At 40.3% G+C, this 22,770-nt stretch overlaps 1 protein-coding gene across 2 annotated transcripts in view; it reads left to right on the forward strand.

The window, feature by feature from the left end:
- The window catches only part of ONECUT2 (one cut homeobox 2), a 55,925-nt gene extending 39,363 nt beyond the window's left edge, over positions 1-16,562 (forward strand). For both annotated transcript variants that reach the window (XM_047437947.1, NM_004852.3), the window contains one exon: positions 1,701-16,562. In XM_047437947.1, coding sequence (XP_047293903.1) covers positions 1,701-1,776 — 76 coding nt within the window. In that variant the 3' untranslated portion in view covers positions 1,777-16,562. The remainder of the gene's footprint in view (positions 1-1,700) is intronic.
- Positions 16,563-22,770: the final 6,208 nt, after the last annotated feature.

Raw genomic sequence — 22,770 nt, forward strand, 5'->3', positions numbered from 1 at the left:
AGACCGTCCACATAAGATGCTGCCTGCAGAACACATTGAACAGGAAATGCAGTGCCCGAAGGCCAGGAAACAAAATATACAAGCCAGTGCTTTGAGAAACATAGGAAAGCATCTGAGCAGCACCCTGGGTGCCAGTCTTGGGGGAATGTCAGTCCACTGCAAAGGGATTCTCAACCTCTGGCCAGAATATCCAGTAGGATGGATTCTGAGGGCGACTGCCCCATCTGGGCCTCTGCTCCTTCCTGGCCTTTCCCCAGTTTTTCCTGTTGAGGCCACACTGTCACCACACCCCTAGGGGAGCTGGGACTTATTTCAAGTGATTTTTTTTTTTTTTTTTTGAGATGGACTCTCACCCTGTCACCCAGGCTGGAGTGCAATGGCATGATCTCGACTCACTGCAACTTCCACCTCCTGGGTTCAAGCGATTCTCCTGCCTCAGCATCCCGAGTAGCTGGGATTACAGGTGCCCACCACCATGCCCAGCTATTTTTTTGTATCTTTAGTAAAGACAGGGTTTCACCATGTTGGCCAGGCTGGTCTCAAACTCCTGACCTCATGATACACCTGCCTTGGCCTCCCAAAGTGCTGGGATTACAGGTGTGAGCCACTGCACCTGGCCATTTCAAGTGATTATAACACACGTTCTCATGTTTTAGCATTATGATTTGTAATACTGTATTTAACCTTTACAGGTCACTTTTCTGAGACACCGAACCTGTCTGTGAAGTGTACAGATTCCCTGAAAGCGTCAAGAAGCCATTTGTCCTCATTGTCCCAAACATTCATTGTATCCATGGCTCCAAAAAGAATCAGTCAGGAATACTACAGAGGCCTGGTTGCTGCCTTCTAGGAACTTGTAGGCTAAGGGAGAGGTCGTGACACATAATGGCCTTGACTGCATATGTCAGCCCAGGCATGGATACTCACTTCTGCTAAATCAAAGAGACTCTGCATATACTAACATGTCTACAAGCCTGAAGTCCTATTGTAACATTGGGCTTCTTCCCCCACCCTCATCCCCTGTCTTGTACTAGCTTCCAATTTCAAACTAGCCAAATGAGAATTGGCTAAACCAATTTTTCTAGTCTTTCTCTCCCTTGGTCTTCTGTTTGTTTTGTTCTAATTTTTCAAAAGTCTGGACGAAAGGAATTTGGGTTGGGATGATACCATCATTCTGTCACTTCTAAATTCATTCTGTTAACAATTTTTAGAGTCACATGGGTAGAAGCTTTGATTCTGAAAAACTATGCACTTTTAAGTTTTGACTCCAGAAGGTAATTTCAACTCAGCTGTAAACAATTCGAGAGGGTGAATATGAAAGAGGAACTGCCTCACCAGGCTTCCCCCACCCTGGCGTCTGGAGTCCTCCCTGCCTTCGTGGCACCTGATTTCAGAGATAAAGAATTTCAAGGATATGCTAGAGCAGGGAGGATGTAAAAGGGAAAGACAACTGCAGTTAGCTCAAAACCAGACTGTGTGAAACAGCCCTGCTGCTTTGTCCTTTCTCCCATCCCCCACTCACTCACTGATGCCTTCCATCACCCGGAGATTACAGGGAAGGCTGGTTATTGACAGCTGGGCAGTTTGCACAATAAAGTTTAACGGTTTACATCTCTTTGTACAACTTTGTCAATGTTTTCCATGGATCACCTTCTCAGGTGAGCCCACTGACTCCTCTCCTTCTTCTCTTTCCCTTCAAGCGTGCAAACGCAAAGAGCAAGAACCAAACAAAGACAGGAACAATTCCCAGAAGAAGTCCCGCCTGGTGTTCACTGACCTCCAACGCCGAACACTCTTCGCCATCTTCAAGGAGAACAAACGCCCGTCAAAGGAGATGCAGATCACCATTTCCCAGCAGCTGGGCCTGGAGCTCACAACCGTCAGCAACTTCTTCATGAACGCCCGGCGCCGCAGCCTGGAGAAGTGGCAAGACGATCTGAGCACAGGGGGCTCCTCGTCCACCTCCAGCACGTGTACCAAAGCATGATGGAAGGACTCTCACTTGGGCACAAGTCACCTCCAAATGAGGACAACAGATACCAAAAGAAAACAAAGGAAAAAGACACCGGATTCCTAGCTGGGGCCCTTCACTGGTGATTTGAAAGCACAATTCTCTTGCAAAGAAACTTATATTCTAGCTGTAATCATAGGCCAGGTGTTCTTCTTTTGTTTTTAATGGCTATGGAGTCCAAGTGCAAGCTGAAAAATTAATCTCTTAGAACCAGACACTGTTCTCTGAGCATGCTAAGCATCCCAGAAACCCAAATGGGGCCTTCCTGGAGCGAGTTAATTCCAGTATGGTGTCAACCAAGCTCGGGATTGCTTAAAATATCATCCATCCCACTTCAGGTCCTGTCAGCTTCTTGCAGTCAGAGTTCCTATGAGTAACAATAGGAGTTTGGCCTATGTAAGGACTCTGAGTTTAGGCTTCCAAGATACAACAATAAGAGAAGAATCTAGCAACGAGAATGACCTCATTTGCTTTCCACATGCTTAGCCTCATTATACCATGTTATGTCCAAGTTCACAGCCACAACATCAGAATGGTAATTACTGAGCACAAGTTTTAAATATGGACGTTAAAAAAAAAAATCCAAGGACCTGTTTTTCCAACCCAGACATCTTTTCATTGAATGATTTAGAAAGCTTTAAGTTGATCCAGCTTACAATTTTTTTTTTCTTTACCTCCTGGAAATCTCATATGGTCTTGGATCCGTCAAAAAAACCAGTCAGTTCACTTGCGCTCAAAGTATCAAGCACAACAAAGATAAACAGAAGTGAGGAAGGTTCTGGGTTCACTACATCTGGATTTTCAAGACACCTATTGTGAAGTCATTAGGGAATTGATGAGAATATGGCTTCAAGCACATTTTGCAGTTTGCTACAAATTCTGTTGTACATAATGCAGACGCACACTCAGGAGGCCAATTTAACTGTTAACAGTGCATGGAGCGAATGCAGCATTTTAAAAGATCTAGGTTTTTTTAGGTCATTAATGTGTCCTTGGTTGATCAGTCATCTGGTCCCTCCTACTGTGTGTTATGACCACCACGTAATCCATTCTCGCTCTTTCTGATTTGGGGTTTTTCCTCATCCATCCCATTAGTAGGGATGTTTTCTGTGTTTTCTAGCAAGAAAAAAAAATCAATCAATCAAACCTGCATACATGTTACTCATGACTGTCATCTAGTCCTAAATCTCTTCTGTTGTTGAATCATCCTTGCAAAACAGCTGAATACATCTGGAGAAAACACAGCACACCAAAGAAGCAGAATACTGCAAACCAAAGACATTTATGACTTGTCATTTTCTAGCCTAAAAATACTGTGATTACTTTTAGAAATCAGAAAACCTCTGCAACTCCGAATGGCATTCAGCTCTTGCATTTGGCGCATCATCGGGCTGAGCGGACCAGCTACACCAAGGACATTAGCCAAGCCACCCAGAGGGGTGGCTTTGCCACACCAGTTGTCACCTTCCCATAGCAAGTGGAAGAGCGCCCACAGAACTCTGGGAGATTGCAAAGGTCACAATGTGCATATTTACCAGTGAATGGCCCCGGGTGGGGCCACGTGGGGGTGTTCAAAGCAAGCCAAACGCTGCAATCATTCTTTACAGACACTTGAGACTGACTTTTTTATGAATTACTTAGTCGAAACCAAAGAAACTTTTTCTGCACCTACTTCTGCAACAAACAAAACTGTCCCATTAAAATGAATAAATAAATCCGTAAATCAATGGAAATCACCACCAATAAGAAGGAAGCACGCCAGAAAATAAACGAAAACAAAAACAGGGAGACACACTGTGTTCAAACAGACCTCTTGGGACATTTTTTGGAAGCAGATTTTAAAGAAAGGGTTGAGACAAAGATAGAAATAAGGAAGAGCCTCAGTGGCTGCTGCTTCATTTGACAACTCACACGGTAATCTTAAAGCTGAAGATTGTCTTTAATTTGTGCCTATGCAGTTTTTCAAAAGAACACGGAACAGAGCAACAGAAACCTCAACAGCTACAATACCAAAGATGAGGATTTCTCACACCTTTTGTTTCAGTTCATTATCTCCTCTTGCCTGGCTAAAATACTAATAGCGCCATTGAACTGTATAAAGGTAATCAATTATGTTTCTCTGAGCAACAAAAGGAAAGGGCCATTTATTTGATTTTATTGTTTCATTTCAATTTTGTCTTATGGTTTTTTGCCCCAACATGGAATCTCTCAAAAGTTTCCATGGACTCCAAGTTTAAGATGTTGGGATATTGAACAGTTCTCTCTGCTCAGCAGAGGGTAGGGAATAACATTATCACTTGAATGTTCTTTGCTTAACCCTTAGACTTGGTTCCTTCTATGTTCAGAGTCTCATCATCAGGGGAAGGAAAGGGAGTGAGGGTCAGGGATAGGGGTCTTGGTGATGCATCCTCTCCCGAGCCACAGAACCAAAGAGTTTATAGAGGAATTTACAGCCTCGTTTTCATGTGATTGCTACATCCTAACAGGGCTTCATTTGGGGGTGGGGGGAAACATGTAAAAATAATTGCCAGTTTCTACTTTTCTATTAGCTTTTTAAAAATCAGCTGTAAAGTTGCATTTCTAAAGAAAGATATATATAATATATAAAATACATATATAGATCAACTTGACATTGGTGATAACCAAAATTATTGCTGTCCAAATTCATGTCTTGTTTTGGTCCAGTGCTTCATTTGCTAAGTATTCGGTTCAGAATTTTTCTCATTTCTCATGCCATTCCAGAGTTAATTTGCCACTGTGGATGATTTGAAGTATTCAGATCTCTATGGAAGTTTCTGGGACAGGTTTAAAGTCAAGATCAAGCATTTTAGCATTTAACCTGTTGATAAATGGATCCATGGTGTACATGAGTTTTATTTGTATTCGGAGTCATCTCTATTCTATCCCTCAGCCTCGATTAAGGTGGTGAGTGAAGTGCATCCAACAGACTCGGCCCAGAACTGGGTCCTGACAGTGGGGTGCTCATCTTCTGTAACTGTTGGGAAGGCTCGGTGGTCCATTTTCACCAGTTAAAGAATATGAGGCCAGCCCAGAAATCTGTTCTCCAGGAGCTGCCCTGTCCCATCTGGGTGTGCCAGACCCCCTCAGTGAGCAGGTCCACCAAAGGGACTTCTCACAGGGGAAGCCCAACTCCTGTTGCAATGGGTTGATAGATTTCCTCAGGGTGGTAATTACCAATTCGTATTTTGACAAGCCTATGTGCAACCACAGCTGGCACTGGGGTGGGCAGTGGTGTTGGGTGGGATGGGGGAGAGTGTCTCAATCCTGAAGAGAAAATATAAAGCAGGTTTTGGGGAGACTTCTGGAGTCCTGCCCCTAGAGAGCCCCATTGTTGTTCTTTGTGCCCCCTCCTCATTCCCCCTATGTGGGTCTCCCTATGCAGGAGCTGTGAGAGAATGTGACTCTCCACAATTTTTATAATTCATCCTTCCTAGGAGATTGTTCATTGGCTCTTCCCTTGTGTCCCTTTGTCCCTTGCTCATACTCCATGTTTCCTTTGTCAAAGGACTAAGAAAAGAGCATATTTCAGCAGAGGAGTGTTCCCATGTGGGTTGATTTCAACTTGGGTATTTCTAAAAGAGTCCTTGTGACATGTGTCCAGTGGAAATGGTTGCTCTTTTCCAGACTGGATTGAGGAATGGAGCCTGTTTGATTTGGTTAGTGATTCTTTGACATACTAATCTCAGCGTTTGGGTCTCCAGCATCCTCTGAAGATGTCTAGACTAGTAGAGGCTGCCTTTGTGACCTGACATTACAACATTGGTCAAACCAGTCCTCTGATAATCAGAAGAACATGTCATAATTGTTTAAAAAAAAAAAAAAGGCAAGAATTTCTCTCCAAGGAGCTTTAATAAATGTCTCATTCCAGATAATGTCATACCAGAGAAAAGTGCTTGCTTTTAGAAAATTATTTACATACATATATAAATATATATGTGTATCTATACAGTTATGTATCAAAATTTTAAGCCCTGCAGAATTTCAATTTGTTAGAAATCTAACAGAAAAAAATTTCTATATTGAAAGGTAATAGAATTTAACCCAGTGAGTTTACTCAAGGATTTTTAAATTTAAGTTAATAATTTCAGAGAAAATAACCATTTGGGTGTGGTTATAGTTTAGTATCCATTACCTCAATCCAAGGAAAATTCCAGGCATTCCTCAACCATCAGGAAAAGGTACAGTGTGAAGGAACAGTTCTCAGCCAAATTTCACATTCTTGAGGCAACAGAAATCAAAACACTCAGAGCCATTGAGTGGAAAAACAATTTACTTTATTCCTTTACACAAATAGGCTTGCATTGTTTTTGTTTTAATGTGATTTTGGTACTAGGGATATAATTATTTCATTCCAGGAAATAATAAAAAAAAACAGACAGAGCCAATACATTTCTTTTTTTAAAGGAAACAGCAACAACAATAAAAACTCAGCACCAATATTTAAAAGCTTTTCCAAAATGTAAAAGAAGTGTTTAGCTTGCACCATGCATAAAGGTGCAGGCTAGTTGAACCAGGAAGCATGGCACTTCCTCTGGAGAAATCCAGAAAGAGTTGCTTCTAAGCTCCCTTTTCCCCCTGCAGGCTCTTGGCAATTGTAGGCTTTAGCAAATCCAGAATAATTTTCAATTCAAGCTAAAATAAAATCAACATTTGGAATGTAAATCTGATACACACACACTTTTCTAAGTCAAACAACATATTTCAAAACCAAAAATAAATACCTTTTAGATAATCAGTTATTTTCTTTGTCTATACTGGGCACCCACCTACTAGTGCCAGTAAATTCAAGTTGAACAGATTTTTAAAATCACTATTATCTGGGTATGGGGGAAACTTCCCCACTTTTGAAAATGTTGGTAGAATTATAGGAATGTCTGTTTGATTATCATTACCAAAGTGTCATGACAGTATGCCTTTGTAGTGAACTCGGATTTTCAGGAGTTTGAATAGTTGGATATTTTAAAATCTAAGAAGAAAAGGCCTGTTTCCAATGTTGTTGAAGAATAATGAACTCTATTAAAAAGTGGAGAAAAAGATAATACATGTGGTCAAGGTTGACCACAAGGCCCAGGCACAACTACCTTGGCGATAATCTTCTAGATTCGTAACAGGTTAGAGCTGACTTTTTGTTTTTGTTGTTGCTGATGCTGTGTGATTCAGACTTCTCAGCCTAACCAGGAAGAGTAAGTGGAAATGGTAGATGAAGAAGGGGTAGAGCTGGTGTATCTATAACTTTCTGATATTTGTCTGCCAAACTTGATATATTAGTAATTTTTTTATCTTTAGCTAAGATCAAGTCACCCCTGAAACAACAGGAGATTCTAGTTTTAAAATAAGGCCACAAAAATCCTTACGGAATGAAGAATGGCACCCCAGTTGGTTGTATAAGTCTCATAAGATAATGATGTTGATTTTAAATATGGATGTCTCAATGCCTGTTTTCTATCAATGATTTGTTTGTTTCCAAGGTCGGGGAGGGAAAGAGGGGAGGGTTTATCTGTTTTAGAAAGTCTCAGAATACTTATAAAATACAGAAGTAGTTATTAAAATATATAGGACCTCACATAGGTAGATACAGAACTTACCATTGAGGCTGATGGGCTGTTGTGTGAATCACACAGGACCTTAAATGAGGCTCATTATTCTCACACACCAAAATGACTCTGACAGCCTGAAGCAGTTATTGCTAGAGCCCAAGCTTTCCTTGGAGGTTTTGGAGTTAGGTTGATTGGAAGTAACCAGCTAATACCTTTTCTAGTGGAGAAAAAGACATTGCTACCAGCTTGTTCATCCCATAGAAGTCTTCCACTCTGCTCCATTTTTAGCAGCAAGCATTTCATGTAGCATAAACCTTGGCAGATAAGTGTGCCTAAGGTTTATACAGTCTGTCCGCTTGGATGTATACAAATTTAGATACATATTTTAACATGTGTTCTCATAGATGACTTTATAACAACACACATTACCTATAGGTGTCTAGACTGTGTACATACAAGTGTGTACAGACAAGCTTCATACGTATATACTGTAATCCGTTACAACAAATAAATTTTAAATCATCGTTTAACATGTATGTGGTACTTCTACAGTGTACATTGTTTTCATTATTTATTGTAACATTGAAAACCACAGTGCAGGGAAAACAAAAGTATCCCAGCATCTTCATCCTGTACACTTGGAATTAATTTCATTTGGGCATATCCAAGATAAACTCAACTTTCAAGAAATCTTGTATATTATTTAATCATCTGTGTTAGGATGACACCTATGATTGATGACTTCGGTTGAATAGCTTTATTCTGGATTTTTCATAACTAAAGCTAAATCCAAAGACCTGAAAAAGGACAAAAAGAAAAAAAAAAAAAGAAAAAACAAAGAAAAAGAAGAAAAAATAATAAAGTCAAGCGCAAACTGATGGGGAGACAGTGGGCTCTGGTTTCCAGGATTGAGACAATGGTACTGCGGTCTTGGGGAGACTGCGTTAGCTAGTGGGGAGTGGTGATTTTTTTCATGCTTGTCACATCTAAATGGTCTTTAACATGAGAAAGTTTTAGAGGTTATAATTTCCTGCTTTGTTTTTATTTAGACTATCAAATGAAGTTATACATGTTGTCAGTCAAAAAATGAAGACACCCTCTGCCCCACCCCACAGAATGCTTTTTATCTTGTCTCTTTGGGTTATGACCCAACAAGCTAAGTACCATTAATGTAATTAACTTATTTAAATTAGTTCCTAGTACATAAATGTATAGGATTTGGGTAATTATTTAATCATCCTTCCTTAGTTTGATTCTACTCCTTGTACTTATTTATCAAAACCTAGACCAATGGTGCATCAGAGATGCAAAATTCTACTTGGAATACTCTTGAAGTTTAGTTTGCTTTATAAAGCAGTGAAATTCTGTTACAGACAGGGAAGAAATACAGGTTACAAAAAGAGAATTTGGGATATTCTTCCCTCTTAAATTAACTTTTAAAATAGTCTAAGTAACAATTTTTAAATTATTTAACTTAAGTTCGCAGCCCCACCTGGTACCAGGCGAACTTCACCTCTTAATTATTGTGGCCCTCGGAGCCTTCATATTGTAACTTATTTATTTAACTTATTCAGCATCTGTGAAAGGTGCACTGTATAGTTTATATTTTTAATTTAAAACAACAGAGAGCACTGCAGTTTGTTTGCTGTCAGAACAACAGAGCAAATTTTGTGGACAAGCAATGACTATTCAGCCTGAACCTGTGCATTCAGAAAACATAAGCTGAGACCCTGCTTCACCAGCCTGGATTTCGGGGCTTCTATACAGAAACTGGAAAAATAAATTTTAAAAAAATCGTAAACAAAAAGAGAGAAACCCTTACACTAGCTGCTTCCAAGAATGAACTCTGTGTGTATGTAAAGCAACAAAACAAAAAAGGAAAAAAACAAAAAGCAGAAAAAAGAAAAAAAAAATGAAAAACTTTCTATTTCTAGTGAGAACCAAAGAAGGCTACCTCACTGACTTTTTCCATTTGTAATTTTAATCGTGTTGATGACACCAAAGATACCAAAGATTTCTTTCTCTGTGCGGTCTGCATTTTGCTTGTGCTCTTTTATAATTTGAACGATTTTCTCTGACATATGGTATGTACAGCCACAGCTCAGATACCCCAAAGAAATAATTATCTATGCGACGGCGGCTGCTAATTTGGAAAGGGATATTTTCTGTGTTTCTCTTATATGTTTGCTGTCTGCTCGACATGTTCAAGATGCGAGTTCAGATGCTGCTGTAATTGGATTCCTTAAATTCTGATTACAAATTGAGGAAGGAAACTGGTTGGAAATGGCCTTCAGTCCTAGCCATGGCCTCTATCCCCGCTGGGACCTGTCACAGTAAAGACTGCCAATTACTGAACCACAGAAGCTCTGACCATTGAGTAGTTGAGCTGGAAGAGACCTTAGGAATCATTTAGTCCAAGCCCCGGTGGCCCAGAGGAATGAAATAGTTATCCAAATCAAATAACTCTTGAGAGTGAAAGCCCACACATGCCTCCTGGTTCCTGCCCCAGTGCTCCGCTTATTGTACAGTGCTACCTCTGCATGAGAGCGGTCCCACATTGACAAATAGGATGGTGGCAATCCTTTAGCAATGAGCAGGGACTGGGGTTTATCTCTTAACATTTTCAGCTGTAAAATTAGTCACAAGCATTTTCAGTGTCCCATTAGTACATAGTCACATATGGTCGGTTGCTTCGTGAAGGTGGCCTGTCTTGAAATACTAGGGCTCATACGGGATTTTTGCCCTAGGAAAAACATGTTGATCCCAATGATGTGATCACTTTTGAACCTTTCCATTACAAAGCATTGTATAGATAACTTTTTAATTCAGTAGGAGGAGAAAGTTCATTCTTGGCCTGTTGGCTTTGATTATTATGGGTACTTTAAAGTCAGTATTTATCAAGAAAGGGAACTTGACCACCATTGGCACATGTGACATTTAAGCTCTTCAGCCTTTTCCTTTTTAGTTGTAGGTGTTTACATTTCATTTCTAAGCCAACTCTGTATTTATGAGAGAAGTTTAAGCCTTACATCATTTGATACTAAAGGGTTATTTGTGGTAAATGAAAAATGACCCCAAAATTACAGAGGAATATGCCAGTTTAAGAAATGGCTACTTAAAGTTGCTTCTCTCTTTCCTTCTTACTCATGAAATTAATTGGTCTTCTTCAAGTTTCTTTAGATTCCATTAAATGATTAAATCACTATTAAGAGCCATTCATCAACGTGATTTGTGTGTTAGCCAATGAATCTGTCTCAGCTTTTGACCAAATGGGTTTTAGACAAATGCAAAGATCTGCCTCTAGTCCATATGGCTCTTTTTGAGTGCTAGTATTTTGCATTTCACATAATGTAGTTATTTTGAGCTTTTAAAGAGAGCATTTAGACAAAGAAGCAAAGAGAGGAAGGGACCAATCAACTCATCAGTTCCATGCATCAACAAAGCATAGCTAGTAGAGGAATATAAATGACAGATTGACAAACTGTAGGAAACACTGTTACTCTCTTTCTGAAGTTTTCAAGCACCATCCTATGTGAAAGTTCCCTCCTGTCCAAACAAGCTCAAGGCCCATCTTCTCCCTATACAAGGCAAACCTGTAAGGCCTTCCTTCCAAAGAGTACATTGCTTTGGTTTTCTTCCTAAATTCCTATTGGAATTAGAACTCTCAGAATCCCTGGGAGACAGAGCAAAGATGACTTAATTCATTGAGCAGCAGAGCTCCCTATAAGTGAACATCACCTTCCCCATCTTTCCTACTGCCACACCCATACGAGAGAGGATCTAGAAAGAGCGATGGCAGCCTGAACACAGAAAACATCCCCACTTGGCAGACCTCTCCTCAGCAATCCCCCCAGCCTCATGCTTCACTTGCAAAGTGTGACATAACCACGGGACGAGTGCCTTGCTTGAACCAAAGCAACGATTTAGCCAGTCTGGACCTCTCTGTGCTTTTTTTAATTCTTCCTGTGAATACCTCAGCTTCAACTGGGCCTCCATACAGTCAGTTGGTGGGCTTATTGTACTGTGGTGCTTTGCAATGCAACCCTGCAAAGAACAAGATTTGTACTAATACCAAAGGTTCTTTCTCTATGTCTCCTCCTCTGCCTCCCTCGTTCTTCCCTTTTTTCTAGTTCTTCACGGTTCCAAAGCTTTACTATGAACCTGGGCATGTTGGCAATGCAGACCGCGCAATTCCTTACCGAATTTTCTCAGATATACCTCATAGACAATAGTGTTTAGAGTAATGTTATTATAGCGTATGTAATAAATTATTCACTGTTTCTTTTGGTAACTGTGATTTAAAAAAAGAAAAAAGAAAAAAAAGCTTTATACGTTTTAGGTTGTGCTTTTGTAATAGATGAAAAAAGGTGCGCTTAAAAAGAAAATGTATGTTTTTTTCCCCCTTTGGATTTTATTTATGCTGGATTGGGGAAAGTTGCAGAATGAGCCCAAAGTTTACAGTTTCATATTTTGCTGAAGAAACAATCTGTGTTCATTTGCTCTGTTGAAAAGAATAATTATTTTCTACATTTGTGCCACTTGGTCTGAACAATTAATTGTTCCGTGTTAACAGTGTAGTATTATGATTAGCAACTGCCAATCAGTGCTATAATTTTATGCATGAGGCTAAAAATTTAGCAGTGTGATGCATTGTGGTCTTAATAGCAACATTTTTCATTTTGAACTAGATCTTCCCCTTTGGTTCAATGGACTTTATTTATGCATGGGCGCCTATTGTTTGTTAGCAGTTGTGGAACAGTTGTGTATACATTAAACTGTGAAAATGTACACAGTTCAGCCTCAGACGGTGGTAATATTGGTTTTATTGGGAGATGTGTCACCTCGAAAATACCCTTTACATCTGTTGGGATCTGAAAATGAGTCACATTGAATTGGGTTCCAGCTTTATAATGAGAAACGTTATTCCTAATTTTTGAGTTAGCCAATTTGCATTCCACAAATTGGGATCCTCATAACCCAAATATATCACCGTATGTGAGAGGGATTTGAAAGCGAGTATTGAAAAACTCACCTTTGCATATTTAATTTCCACCAAAAGGAGTTATTTTGGCTTTATGCTCATGAACTTAGACCTAACTGGCCATGTATATGTAGATGCAAATTCATCTAGCTGTGGCCCTCTTTGATCTCTGCTTGGGAATGGCTATTTTTGACTATGCGTGGTTTCTTCTCGTATTTTGTGATCAGGTCAGCTCCCAGTAGAAACTCAAATGGCATCAATATTACTAACTCTTCTCTGCCCACTTCTCTTTTGTCCACTCTCCTAGACATTCCCACCAACTGTTCCAGTGATTTGGGCAAAAATACGCAGCCATTTCCCAAAACTTCACATGTGCAGCTATCATGGCTGTCCCTCCCTAGACTTGGAGGTGACTCTCACTTAATTTTTACCTGCCCAACAATGTTCCATCTACCATCTAAAAGGTAATATAAGAAGAAGTTTTGAAACCCACTTTAGGAAAACCATCTTCTTTAAATCCTTCAATTATCTGAGGCCTCTATATGTCAAAACTATTTTTCAGTTGCAGGGGATTGGGCAAACTTGTTCTTTCTTATACTTGGGTTCAAAGACCCATTCTCCAGTTTCATATTTCCCAAACCAAAATGCTTGACATAAAGCCAAATCAACTGCCAAGCACACTTTATTTTGCATAGGAGTATGCAGCCTAGGGAACCTTGGTTGAAAAGCAGCAGTCTGCTATGCAAAATATTGGAAATCACTGACAGTGTAGCATTCATATTATCTGTCAATGAGGGTATATTGGGAACGTGCTCTCGTGAATAATAAAAAGCAACATATTTTTATTTGGCCTTATAAATTAGGTTGTGGTAATGTAAACTTTGATATATAGTCTTTTTATTTTTCTCTTATTAATCTGCCAAAGATGGGAACAGATACAAGAATTTTTCAAATTGGCTTTTGTAAGACAATTGATGATTGTAATAGTGTTTAATCTTCCAGAAAGCTTTATATGTTGTTCCACAATAAAATTGATATTTGTTTCAGCAAAGTTTTCCTGACACTCACAAACCCACAAACTGTTCCTCTTAATGCAGATATTGTAGAATCTACAAAGTTCAAATCCATTTTTGATCCAAAGAAAGTAGAGGAGTATTTGAGACATGAGTGTACCCAGCCCTTTTTTTAATCACAGGCAATGCATGGGTCTGGCTGGTTACACTTTGCCAAGAAGACTTGTCTTATGAAACCCAAGGTATATTTTGTTATGCCATTTTATGTCCTTTTCTTTTAACATTGTGGAAAGTGGTATGTTGAATCAAGTGTAAGCTGAGTTTTCCAGACAACTGAAGTAGCTACATCATGAATGTTATTTTGTTATTAAAGGGTTTTTACTCAGTGCTTTGTGCCAATGGATGTCCTTTTCCTTGGAGACACATAACTACAAAATTACCTCAGCTTGGCCTGGTTTTCTCTCCTGCCCTCTTGGGGAAACATGGGCCTGGCCTGGGAAAAGGCAGGTCATGGGCTGGAAGGTAGGTTTTGGTACTAGGAAGAAATCTCTGTATCTGTCAGCTTTAAAGAGAACTGGGCCAAAAATCTCTAACCTCACTCTCTCTGGACTCCAACACTTCCCTGCAATCCTTTGGTCTTGAGCATGTGCCAGCATGAAGGCAGACTCCAGTTCATACATGAAAGGCAAGAAAAAGAAAATAGTAACCTTGAATCTTCTGTGGGCCACCAGGCACTCACCTTTCCCCACCTTGCACACTATCCAGTCAAGGCTATTGCAGCCCATCTGGTGGCTTTACATGGGACATTACCAAAGGCTTCTTCCTCCATCCTGGGGTTGCAAAGGATCCAGGTCCCCTCCATCCAGTGGGGCTCTTCCACATCAGAAGTCCCCCTCCCACCATCCTCTGCATCCTGTTTAGCTATCCCATCTATACCTTTTGGAGATGATTATTTAGAAAACAAAGAAAGGTATGGAATGGGGTTTCCTATTGTTTGCTAGGTTATATTTTAGCAATTCTCAATTCTTTGATCTGGAAAAATACAAGAGGGAAAAGGAGACCCCACTATCTCCCTGTGCTTTGCTCCCATCTCAGGGGGCAGGGGCAGTGCACATTGCCTATGCTGTTGATCTGTCTTGGGCGACAGGCTGAATCACAGCTATTGCCCCAGCCAAAAACATGGCCCATCAATGCCTACTTTATCTCTGCTTGAAAATCCTATTCAAAAAGTTGTAGAGTTTGAGGTTTTTATCCCCCCATATCCTTTGCTTTGGTCCAGTTTGGCCTTTAGCATAAGAGTCAGCTTTATCTCTAGGAAAGTTTTTTCAGATTATGACAAGGAACCTGCCACCTGGGAAGAAAAGAGTCCGAAGACTAGCAATCGGATAGGTAGTCATACCATTAACAGATACTTCCTTGAAGGTAGAATATTATTTCCTTTCTTTACAGTTTTGTGTTACACAAGTCCAAGTGGTGCCAGCAAACTTCTTACCGTGAAATGTTGTAAAACACCTGGCATACTGAAATTTCTGAAACAAAAACACAAGCTCCACATTGATAACTTGATAAATAACCACTAAAGTTTAGATGCAGGGACTGAGATGATACAGGCAAAATCTTGGTGTTGGTTTCTCTTTTAATTCGTATCTTCGATCACCTAACCTTTCTCAATCCAAGAGCAGTTCAGTCTTTTCTCCCCAAGTCTAGGATGCCAAAGAGCATCATAGGAAAAGATAATTAGGGATTGACCAGCATTTCAATTAGTTCTCTTCTTCATCTTTGCATTTCTCAAAAGTGTTCTCCTGGACCAGAGGGAAAGAGCTGGTCCATTTTTTTTCATTCTTTCTATTCAAATTTTTCCACCCAGACAATACTTTATTAACACAGATACTGTAGATCCTTCCTTGGTCAGTGAATTATTACAAGAGGAGCTATCCTTCCACCAAAGTGAGTGAAAACAAGTTCCAGTATCTTTTCTTCCATCCAGTTTTGTTCTCAGAATCCAAGTCAGTCCTGGGTCTTTTCTCACTTTAGACCCTGGCCTCAGATGTGTTTATTCTTGCTATTTAAAAATACCTTTAAATTTCACATGCTGGCCTGCAGAACTTGCATCCTTTGTTCTATACTGTTGACTGCTTGATGGTATTGAAAGGTGACTATAATGAGGGAAGAAAGGAGGAGGTAAAGAGAGAAGAATTTGTCCCAGATCTGTTTAAAGTTTCAAAATTTAAAAAGGGACCCATTAAATTATGGGAAAATGGCTATAGAGTGTGAGCCTCCGTTGACCATATGCTCAAAGACCGTACTCTGCCACCTGCCTTCCAGGTAGCTATTCTAGAAACTCAGTCCTTTGTGGAAACCCAACTACCTTTTAAAAGTCTCTTTCCAGATTCCAAAAGGACAAGAGATCAGAGAGTCACATATACGCCTCTTGTTTTATTTTCTTGCTTTCACGGGTATTATTGCCAAGAAAATCGTAGGGAAAAACTTTAAACTTTTCTTTTCAGTTGATCCCTTTGACATCACCTCTCATGTTTAAAATCAGGAAAACACACCCCTAAAATTTGCACTCTCTTCCGTTTTGAAAAAGAAAACCCACACACAAATGCACACTATTACCGTCTTTCACCCTGCGCTATATTTCCAAAGTGTATTATAATCCAGATATTGCCCCATCTCAAACATGTTAAGTCAGACTGTGCTGAAAGACTTTCCAGGGACGGTCAACAGGGTATATGTTCAGTGGCTGCCCTGAAATCCTGGTGGGGATGAGGATCACGCTTCATCATCAAGGGGATGCCCATCCCCTGATAAGCTCCCAGTCCTTTTGGAAGATTTCTTTGAATGTTAATTGCATTTTCAGTTTTGCTCATTTCCCACCCCAATGTTTTGTCTGCAACATCGCTTACACTGGATTCTTTCTATTTTTATTCCTATCATTAAATGGTAGTGCTGTAAATTCTGCAATTAATGTTAAATAAACTGCTTTAATTCATTGACCATGGCTCAGTTGCCTTCTTTTTCTTTTCATGGAAGGAATTAAGCACTCTTCCCCCTACAGCACCCCATTGTGGTTTCATAAAAAAACAGTAAATTTGTTCTTAGTGAGACTACAATTTCTATCTCTGACAGTATGCAAGACACATCTTATAATCAACAAACCTGTTATCCTTGTTATAAATCACAAAAGATGAGAGATGCTCCATAAAAACTACCTTTTTTCTTAACCTGTTAACACTTTAGAGATAGCCTGTCCTAGACTTATCTTTGCACAGATTTTGTATGAGGTCACATATGGTGAGTCAAAAGAAGGATCATGTTATTGTCACCCTATGGAAGAATCAAGAAAAATAGACCAAAAAAAATAAGGCCTCATATGAAATCTAAACCCTGCAACAAATTAGTTGTATGGCTTTGAGCAAGTCATTTAAATCATCTGGGCTTCAGTTTCTCCACCTGTACAAGGTCAAGGTTAAACCTGGTTTTATCAAAAGTCCCTTCCATCTTTGCATTTGCCCCAGATTTTTGAAAATACTAACATTTTTATACAGATTTTATCTTGGCTTATTATTTTCTCTAAGTTAATGAGCTAATGAGTTTGTTTATTCGTTTTATTTTATTTTATTATTTTATTTTATTTTCTGAGATGGAGTCTCACTCTGTCACCCAGGCTGGAGTGCAGTGGCACAATGGCTCACTACAACCTCTGCCTCCTGGGTTCAAGCAATCCTCCCACCACCTCCGTCTCCAAGTAGCTAGAATTACAGGCATGCACCCAGCTTAATTTTTTTTTTTTTTAATTTTAGTACAAACGGAGTTTCACCATGTTGGCCAGGCTGGTCTCTAACTCCTGACCTCAAGTGATCTGCCCACCTCGGCCTCCTAAAGTGCTGGGATTACAGGCATGAGCCACCTCACCCAGCCCATCTATTCATTTTAAATTTAGATATCTGAGATTGGAGACTATTATTCTAAGTGATGTACCTCAGGAATGGAAAACCAAATATCGTATGTTCTCACTGATAGGTGGGAGCTAAGCTACGAGGATGCAAAGGCATAAGAATGATACAATAGACTTTGGGGACTTGGGGGGAAGAGTGGGAGGGGGGCAAGGGATAAAAGACTACGAATATGGTGCAGTGTATGCTCCTCAGGTGATGGGTGCACCAAAATCTCCCAAATCACCACTAAAGAACTTACTCATGTAACCAAATACCACCTGTACCCCAATAACTTATGGGAAAAAAATTTAGATATCCACAAGCTTCAAAGGAGTCCCATTGGGTTAACCCTTGGTCTAACTCACCTATAGCCCAGGCCATGAAGCACTGATTGCCTTCATCTAGACTGGTGGTTTTCAACCCTGGGTGCACATGAGAATCACCCAGAGAGCTTTTAAAATATACTGTACCTAAAGTCCATCCCAGACCAATTCATCCAATTCCACAAGTGTGGGCCTCAAACATTGGTGTAGCCATTAGCTTTTGCTAGAGTTAGTTTGTTAGTGGGAACAAACCACCCTAAAACATAGTGGCTTAAAAAGCAACTATTTTTAACTCATAATTCTGTTGGTTGTCAATTTGGGTTGGTCTCAGCTGGTTAGTTCTTCTGATTGGGCTGGGCTCACTCATGCATCTGTAGTCAGCTCCCCAGTTGGCTGGGGGCTGGCCAGTCTAGGATGGCCTTAGTTTAATCAACTGAGCTCTGCTCTCCTTTATCATCCAGCAGACTGGCCTGGGTAGGGTTCCAAGAGATCAAGTGAATCACACAAGGCCCCTTAAGACCAAAGCATGGAACTGGTATGATCACTTCTGCTGCATCCTCCTCACTGAAGGACACCATAGGTCCAGCCTCACAGGGGTAGGAGTGAAAAGAGATTCCACTTGTTGATGGGAAAAGCTGAAAAAGCACATTACCAACTGAGAAGTGAAAGACAGACTGTAGCCATTTTTTACAATCTACCACAATCTATATTTTTAAAAGCTCTCCCAGAGATTCTAATGTGCAGCCAAATTTGCAAAGCATTATTTCAAAGCCTAGTGTTTTTCTATTTTTTTCTCACAATTCAACACTTATCTGTGTTAACTCCCTCAAATGCCTTTATCGTGTTGCTTGAACTCATTGTATGAAAAAACAATTCACAACCTTCAAACTTGTAGAGTAGGTATCATTACAGGCTGAATTTATACAGATGAAAAAGTCTTCCACAAACCAGAGGGATTTAGACACTGGTTTTATTGGCAGGTGAACTCGCAGCCTCAGCTGCTGGTGGCTGCAACCACTCACTAAGCCATCCCATGTCCAGGGCTGGTGGGAAGCCCTGGGAAGGCAGGAGCCACACATGGAGTTCTTTCTGTTGGAGGAATCTTGGGCTGTCTCAGGCACATGCTGAGAATATTACTGGGCCTAGGCACCGCCTTGGGGTCCATCATGGAGATCTTGACTACAAAGCAGCATGGCCTCTGGTTCTAGGATGAAATCCCTGTTATCATAATGTGCTTTTGCACCATTCTTCCTCGAATGTCGTGTCCTTATTTATTCGCAGACCTTTGGACAGAAAGGAGCATCTTAAGAGAACAGTTGCATAAATAGTCTCAGCTTATGCCAATGCTAAACTAGATAATCACCAAAACCTCTTCCACCTCTGCTATTTCCTGTTTCTAATGATCCATCACTCTTACTCAGAGAAGGAAACAGTAGCTAAACCTGGCAAATTTCAATGCTAAGAATCTCTGGTCTCAGTTTAGCCACATCAGGATAGCCAAACTAAGAGAAATGTAAAAGTCTAGGTGGGGCCTTTGAATGAGAGATTAGGCTCATTGAAGGAAAATACTTCCACACTTTGGGAGCTCATTGGCATGAGCCCATTTTTTTAGCCTCTGGTTAAGGGCATTTGATGGTATGAAGTATCCTTTAGTCAAAATGCTTTAAGTTATTGGTAACTGCCCTTGCAAATCTATTCTCTCACTTTTGTCTTCTCCCTGGATTCTTCCCTCCTTAAGTGGGGCTAGAAGGGGGGAAATCACTTGCAAAAATAAAATTAAAAGGAAGAATAAATCCATGTGGACCCATTAAGCATGAGGAAGCATTGCTCAGTCCACAGTGGCTCACTGAGCACAATTATTTCTAGAATTAATGATGGTGGTTGCCAAACTTAGAGGCAGCCACTATGCTGTCACCTCCAGAATCCTCCTTCCTTGATCTGCACAACAATCATTTAGGGGACATAGGTAGGGCAGGGTGCAACAACCTCAGGACCAAGAGGCAGAATTAGCATTCAAACTCAGATGTCAGAGTTGACCCCGTGCAGCTGGTCACTCGGTGCTGCACCATGGAGACCTGGAAGTTAGTAGGGCATGCTTCCTCGGGTTGCAGTGATAGAGCATATATTACCAAGTCATTCCTGCTATGGAGCCATATCAGCTGTATTCCAAATAAGTCACACAGACAAAAAAAATGCCAGGAGTTCAGAAGAAATGGGGATCATGCCAAACGGGGCTAGTTCAAAAAGGGCTCTCTCATTTCATAAGATTTCCAAGTACTACAGTTTTATTACTAAATCTAATTGAGCATAACTCAATGCATGGCCAAGTGATCTCGGTTTGTGGGAGTAGATTACATTTCTGCCCCCACGTAGCTGCTCCCAGGTAACTAACCTAACTACCCCAGGTAGTATTTTCCTCAGATTATCAATATGTAAATGTCTGGCTCATGCCTCCAGTAGTACTTCTAGCTCTGATTTGAGAGAGAAACCAGCGGTTTGAGTCAGAAGATGTTAATTCATGTCCTAGGCCTACCTCTTACTGATATGTGGCTCTGGGAAAGTCATTTAAATTCCCATCTATAAATTGGGGATAAGAATATAAATTGTATCACTGTCCTGCCTGGTTCACAAAGTTGTGTGTATATATGAATATATCGCTATTAAAGACAACCAACATTTTATAAAAGAGAAATCTGAGGCTCAGGGAGGTTAGGATACTTGGCCGAGGTAACACAGTAGTGGAGCCAGAATTTGAGCCCAGGATCGTCAGCTTCAAAGCCCACCTGAAAGTGTCAACTAACATGAATTCCCCTAGTGACAGGAGAGAGCTGCATCATGGCACTGTAGCGAAGCATGCCACAAGACGTAAACTATTTCTTAACAATTAGCTTTGACAATGGAAGTGCAACTAGTAGAAGAATTTATAAACTTCCTCAGAAATAATGCCGCATATCTACAACTATCTGATCTGTGACAAACCTGAGAAAAACAAGCAATGGGGAAAGGATTCCCTGTTTAACAAAATGGTGCTGGGAAAACTGGCTAGCCATATGTAGAAAGCTGAAACTGGATCCCTTCCTTACACCTTATACAAAAATCAATTCAAGGTGGATTAAAGACTTAAACGTTAGACCTAAAACCATAAAAACCCTAGAAGAAAACCTAGGCATTACCATTTAGGACATAGGCATGGGCAAGGACTTCATGTCTAAAACACCAAAAGCAATGGCAACCAAAGCCAAAATTGACAAATGGGATCTAATTAAACTAAAGACCTTCTGCACAGCAAAAGAAACTACCATCAGAGTGAACAGGCAACCTACAAAATGGGAGAAAATTTTCGCAACCTACTCATCTGACAAAGGGCTAATATCCAGAATCTACAATGAACTCAAACAAATTTACAAGAAAAAAACAACCCCATCAAAAAGTGGGCAAAGGACATGAACAGACACTTCTCAAAAGAAGACATTTATGCAGCCAAAAAACACATGAAAAAATGCTCACCATCACTGGCCATCAGAGAAATGCAAATCAAAACCACAATGAGATACCATCTCACACCAGTTAGAATGGCAATCATTAAAAAGTCAGGAAACAACAGGTGCTGGAGAGGATGTGGAGAAATAGGAACACTTTTGCACTGTTGGTGGGACTGTAAACTAGTTCAACCATTGTGGAAGTCAATGTGGCGATTCCTCAGGGATCTAGAACTAGAAATACCATTTGACCCAGCCATCCCATTACTGGGTATATACCCAAAGGACTATAAATCATGCTGCTATAAAGACACATGCACACGTATGTTTATTGCGGCATTATTCACAATAGCAAAGACTTGGAACCAACCCAAATGTTCAACAATGATAGACTGGATTAAGAAAATGTGGCACATATACACCATGGAATACTATGCAGCCATAAAAAATGATGAGTTCACGTCCTTTGTAGGGACATGGATGAAATTGGAAATCATCATTCTCAGTAAACTATCGCAAGAACAAAAAACCAAACACCGCATATTCTTACTCATAGGTGGGAATTGAACAATGAGAACACATGGACACAGGAAGGGGAACATCACACTCTGGGGACTGTTGTGGGGTGGGGGGAGGGGGGAGGGATAGCACTGGGATATATACCTAATGCTAGATGATGAGTTAGTGGGTGCAGCGCACCAGCATGGCACATGTATACATATGTAACTAACCTGCACATTGTGCACATGTACCCTAAAACTTAAAGTATAATAATAATAAATTTTTTAAAAAAAGAATTTATAAACTTGCTTGTTTTGCCCTGAAATGACTATTCATAAAAATTGCCGTGAGCTGACTAAGCCAATTTGGTTATGCACAACATTTAGGTTCTTGTGGTAGCTAATGGTAGCCACCCAAAGGTTTTGAGATGGGCAAGAGTCAACTACTTCCCCACAACTTCTTGCCAGATTTTAAAGAAAGTGAGTCTGAAACCAAATGTTGCCACATATAGGTATTTACTTAACATGTTTTATTTAGAAAATCAGGCACAGAACCACACATACCACTCACGGTGGGAGTTCTGTGAAGTGTGAGATCTCTGTATTATTGGGAGTCCTAACCATACTCCAGATAGACCTAGGAACATTTTGGAGGCAGGCTTTCATTAGTCCTTGGGCAGCATCAGACGACAGGTAATATTCTAGACTGAGGACTGAACACAGGAACTTTTAGGGATCAAACCTCTCCTCTATTCCCTAAAGCAGGCTAAAGGTTTCACTGAAGTCTTATACTCTGTCCATGCAAGAGAACAGAGTTAGGGCTTCCCCAACCCACCTATCTCAAATACCTTTAATTTTACCAGTCACCAGAATCCATTTATAACATTTTCCATGATACAGTGATAGGCGACTGTCTTGTAGTAGACTGAGATGTGGATGGCTGAAGCACTGTTAGTGACCAGTC

The sequence above is a fragment of the Homo sapiens genome, chromosome 18, assembly GCF_000001405.40.
Source record: "Homo sapiens chromosome 18, GRCh38.p14 Primary Assembly".
Lineage (NCBI taxonomy): Eukaryota > Metazoa > Chordata > Mammalia > Primates > Hominidae > Homo > Homo sapiens.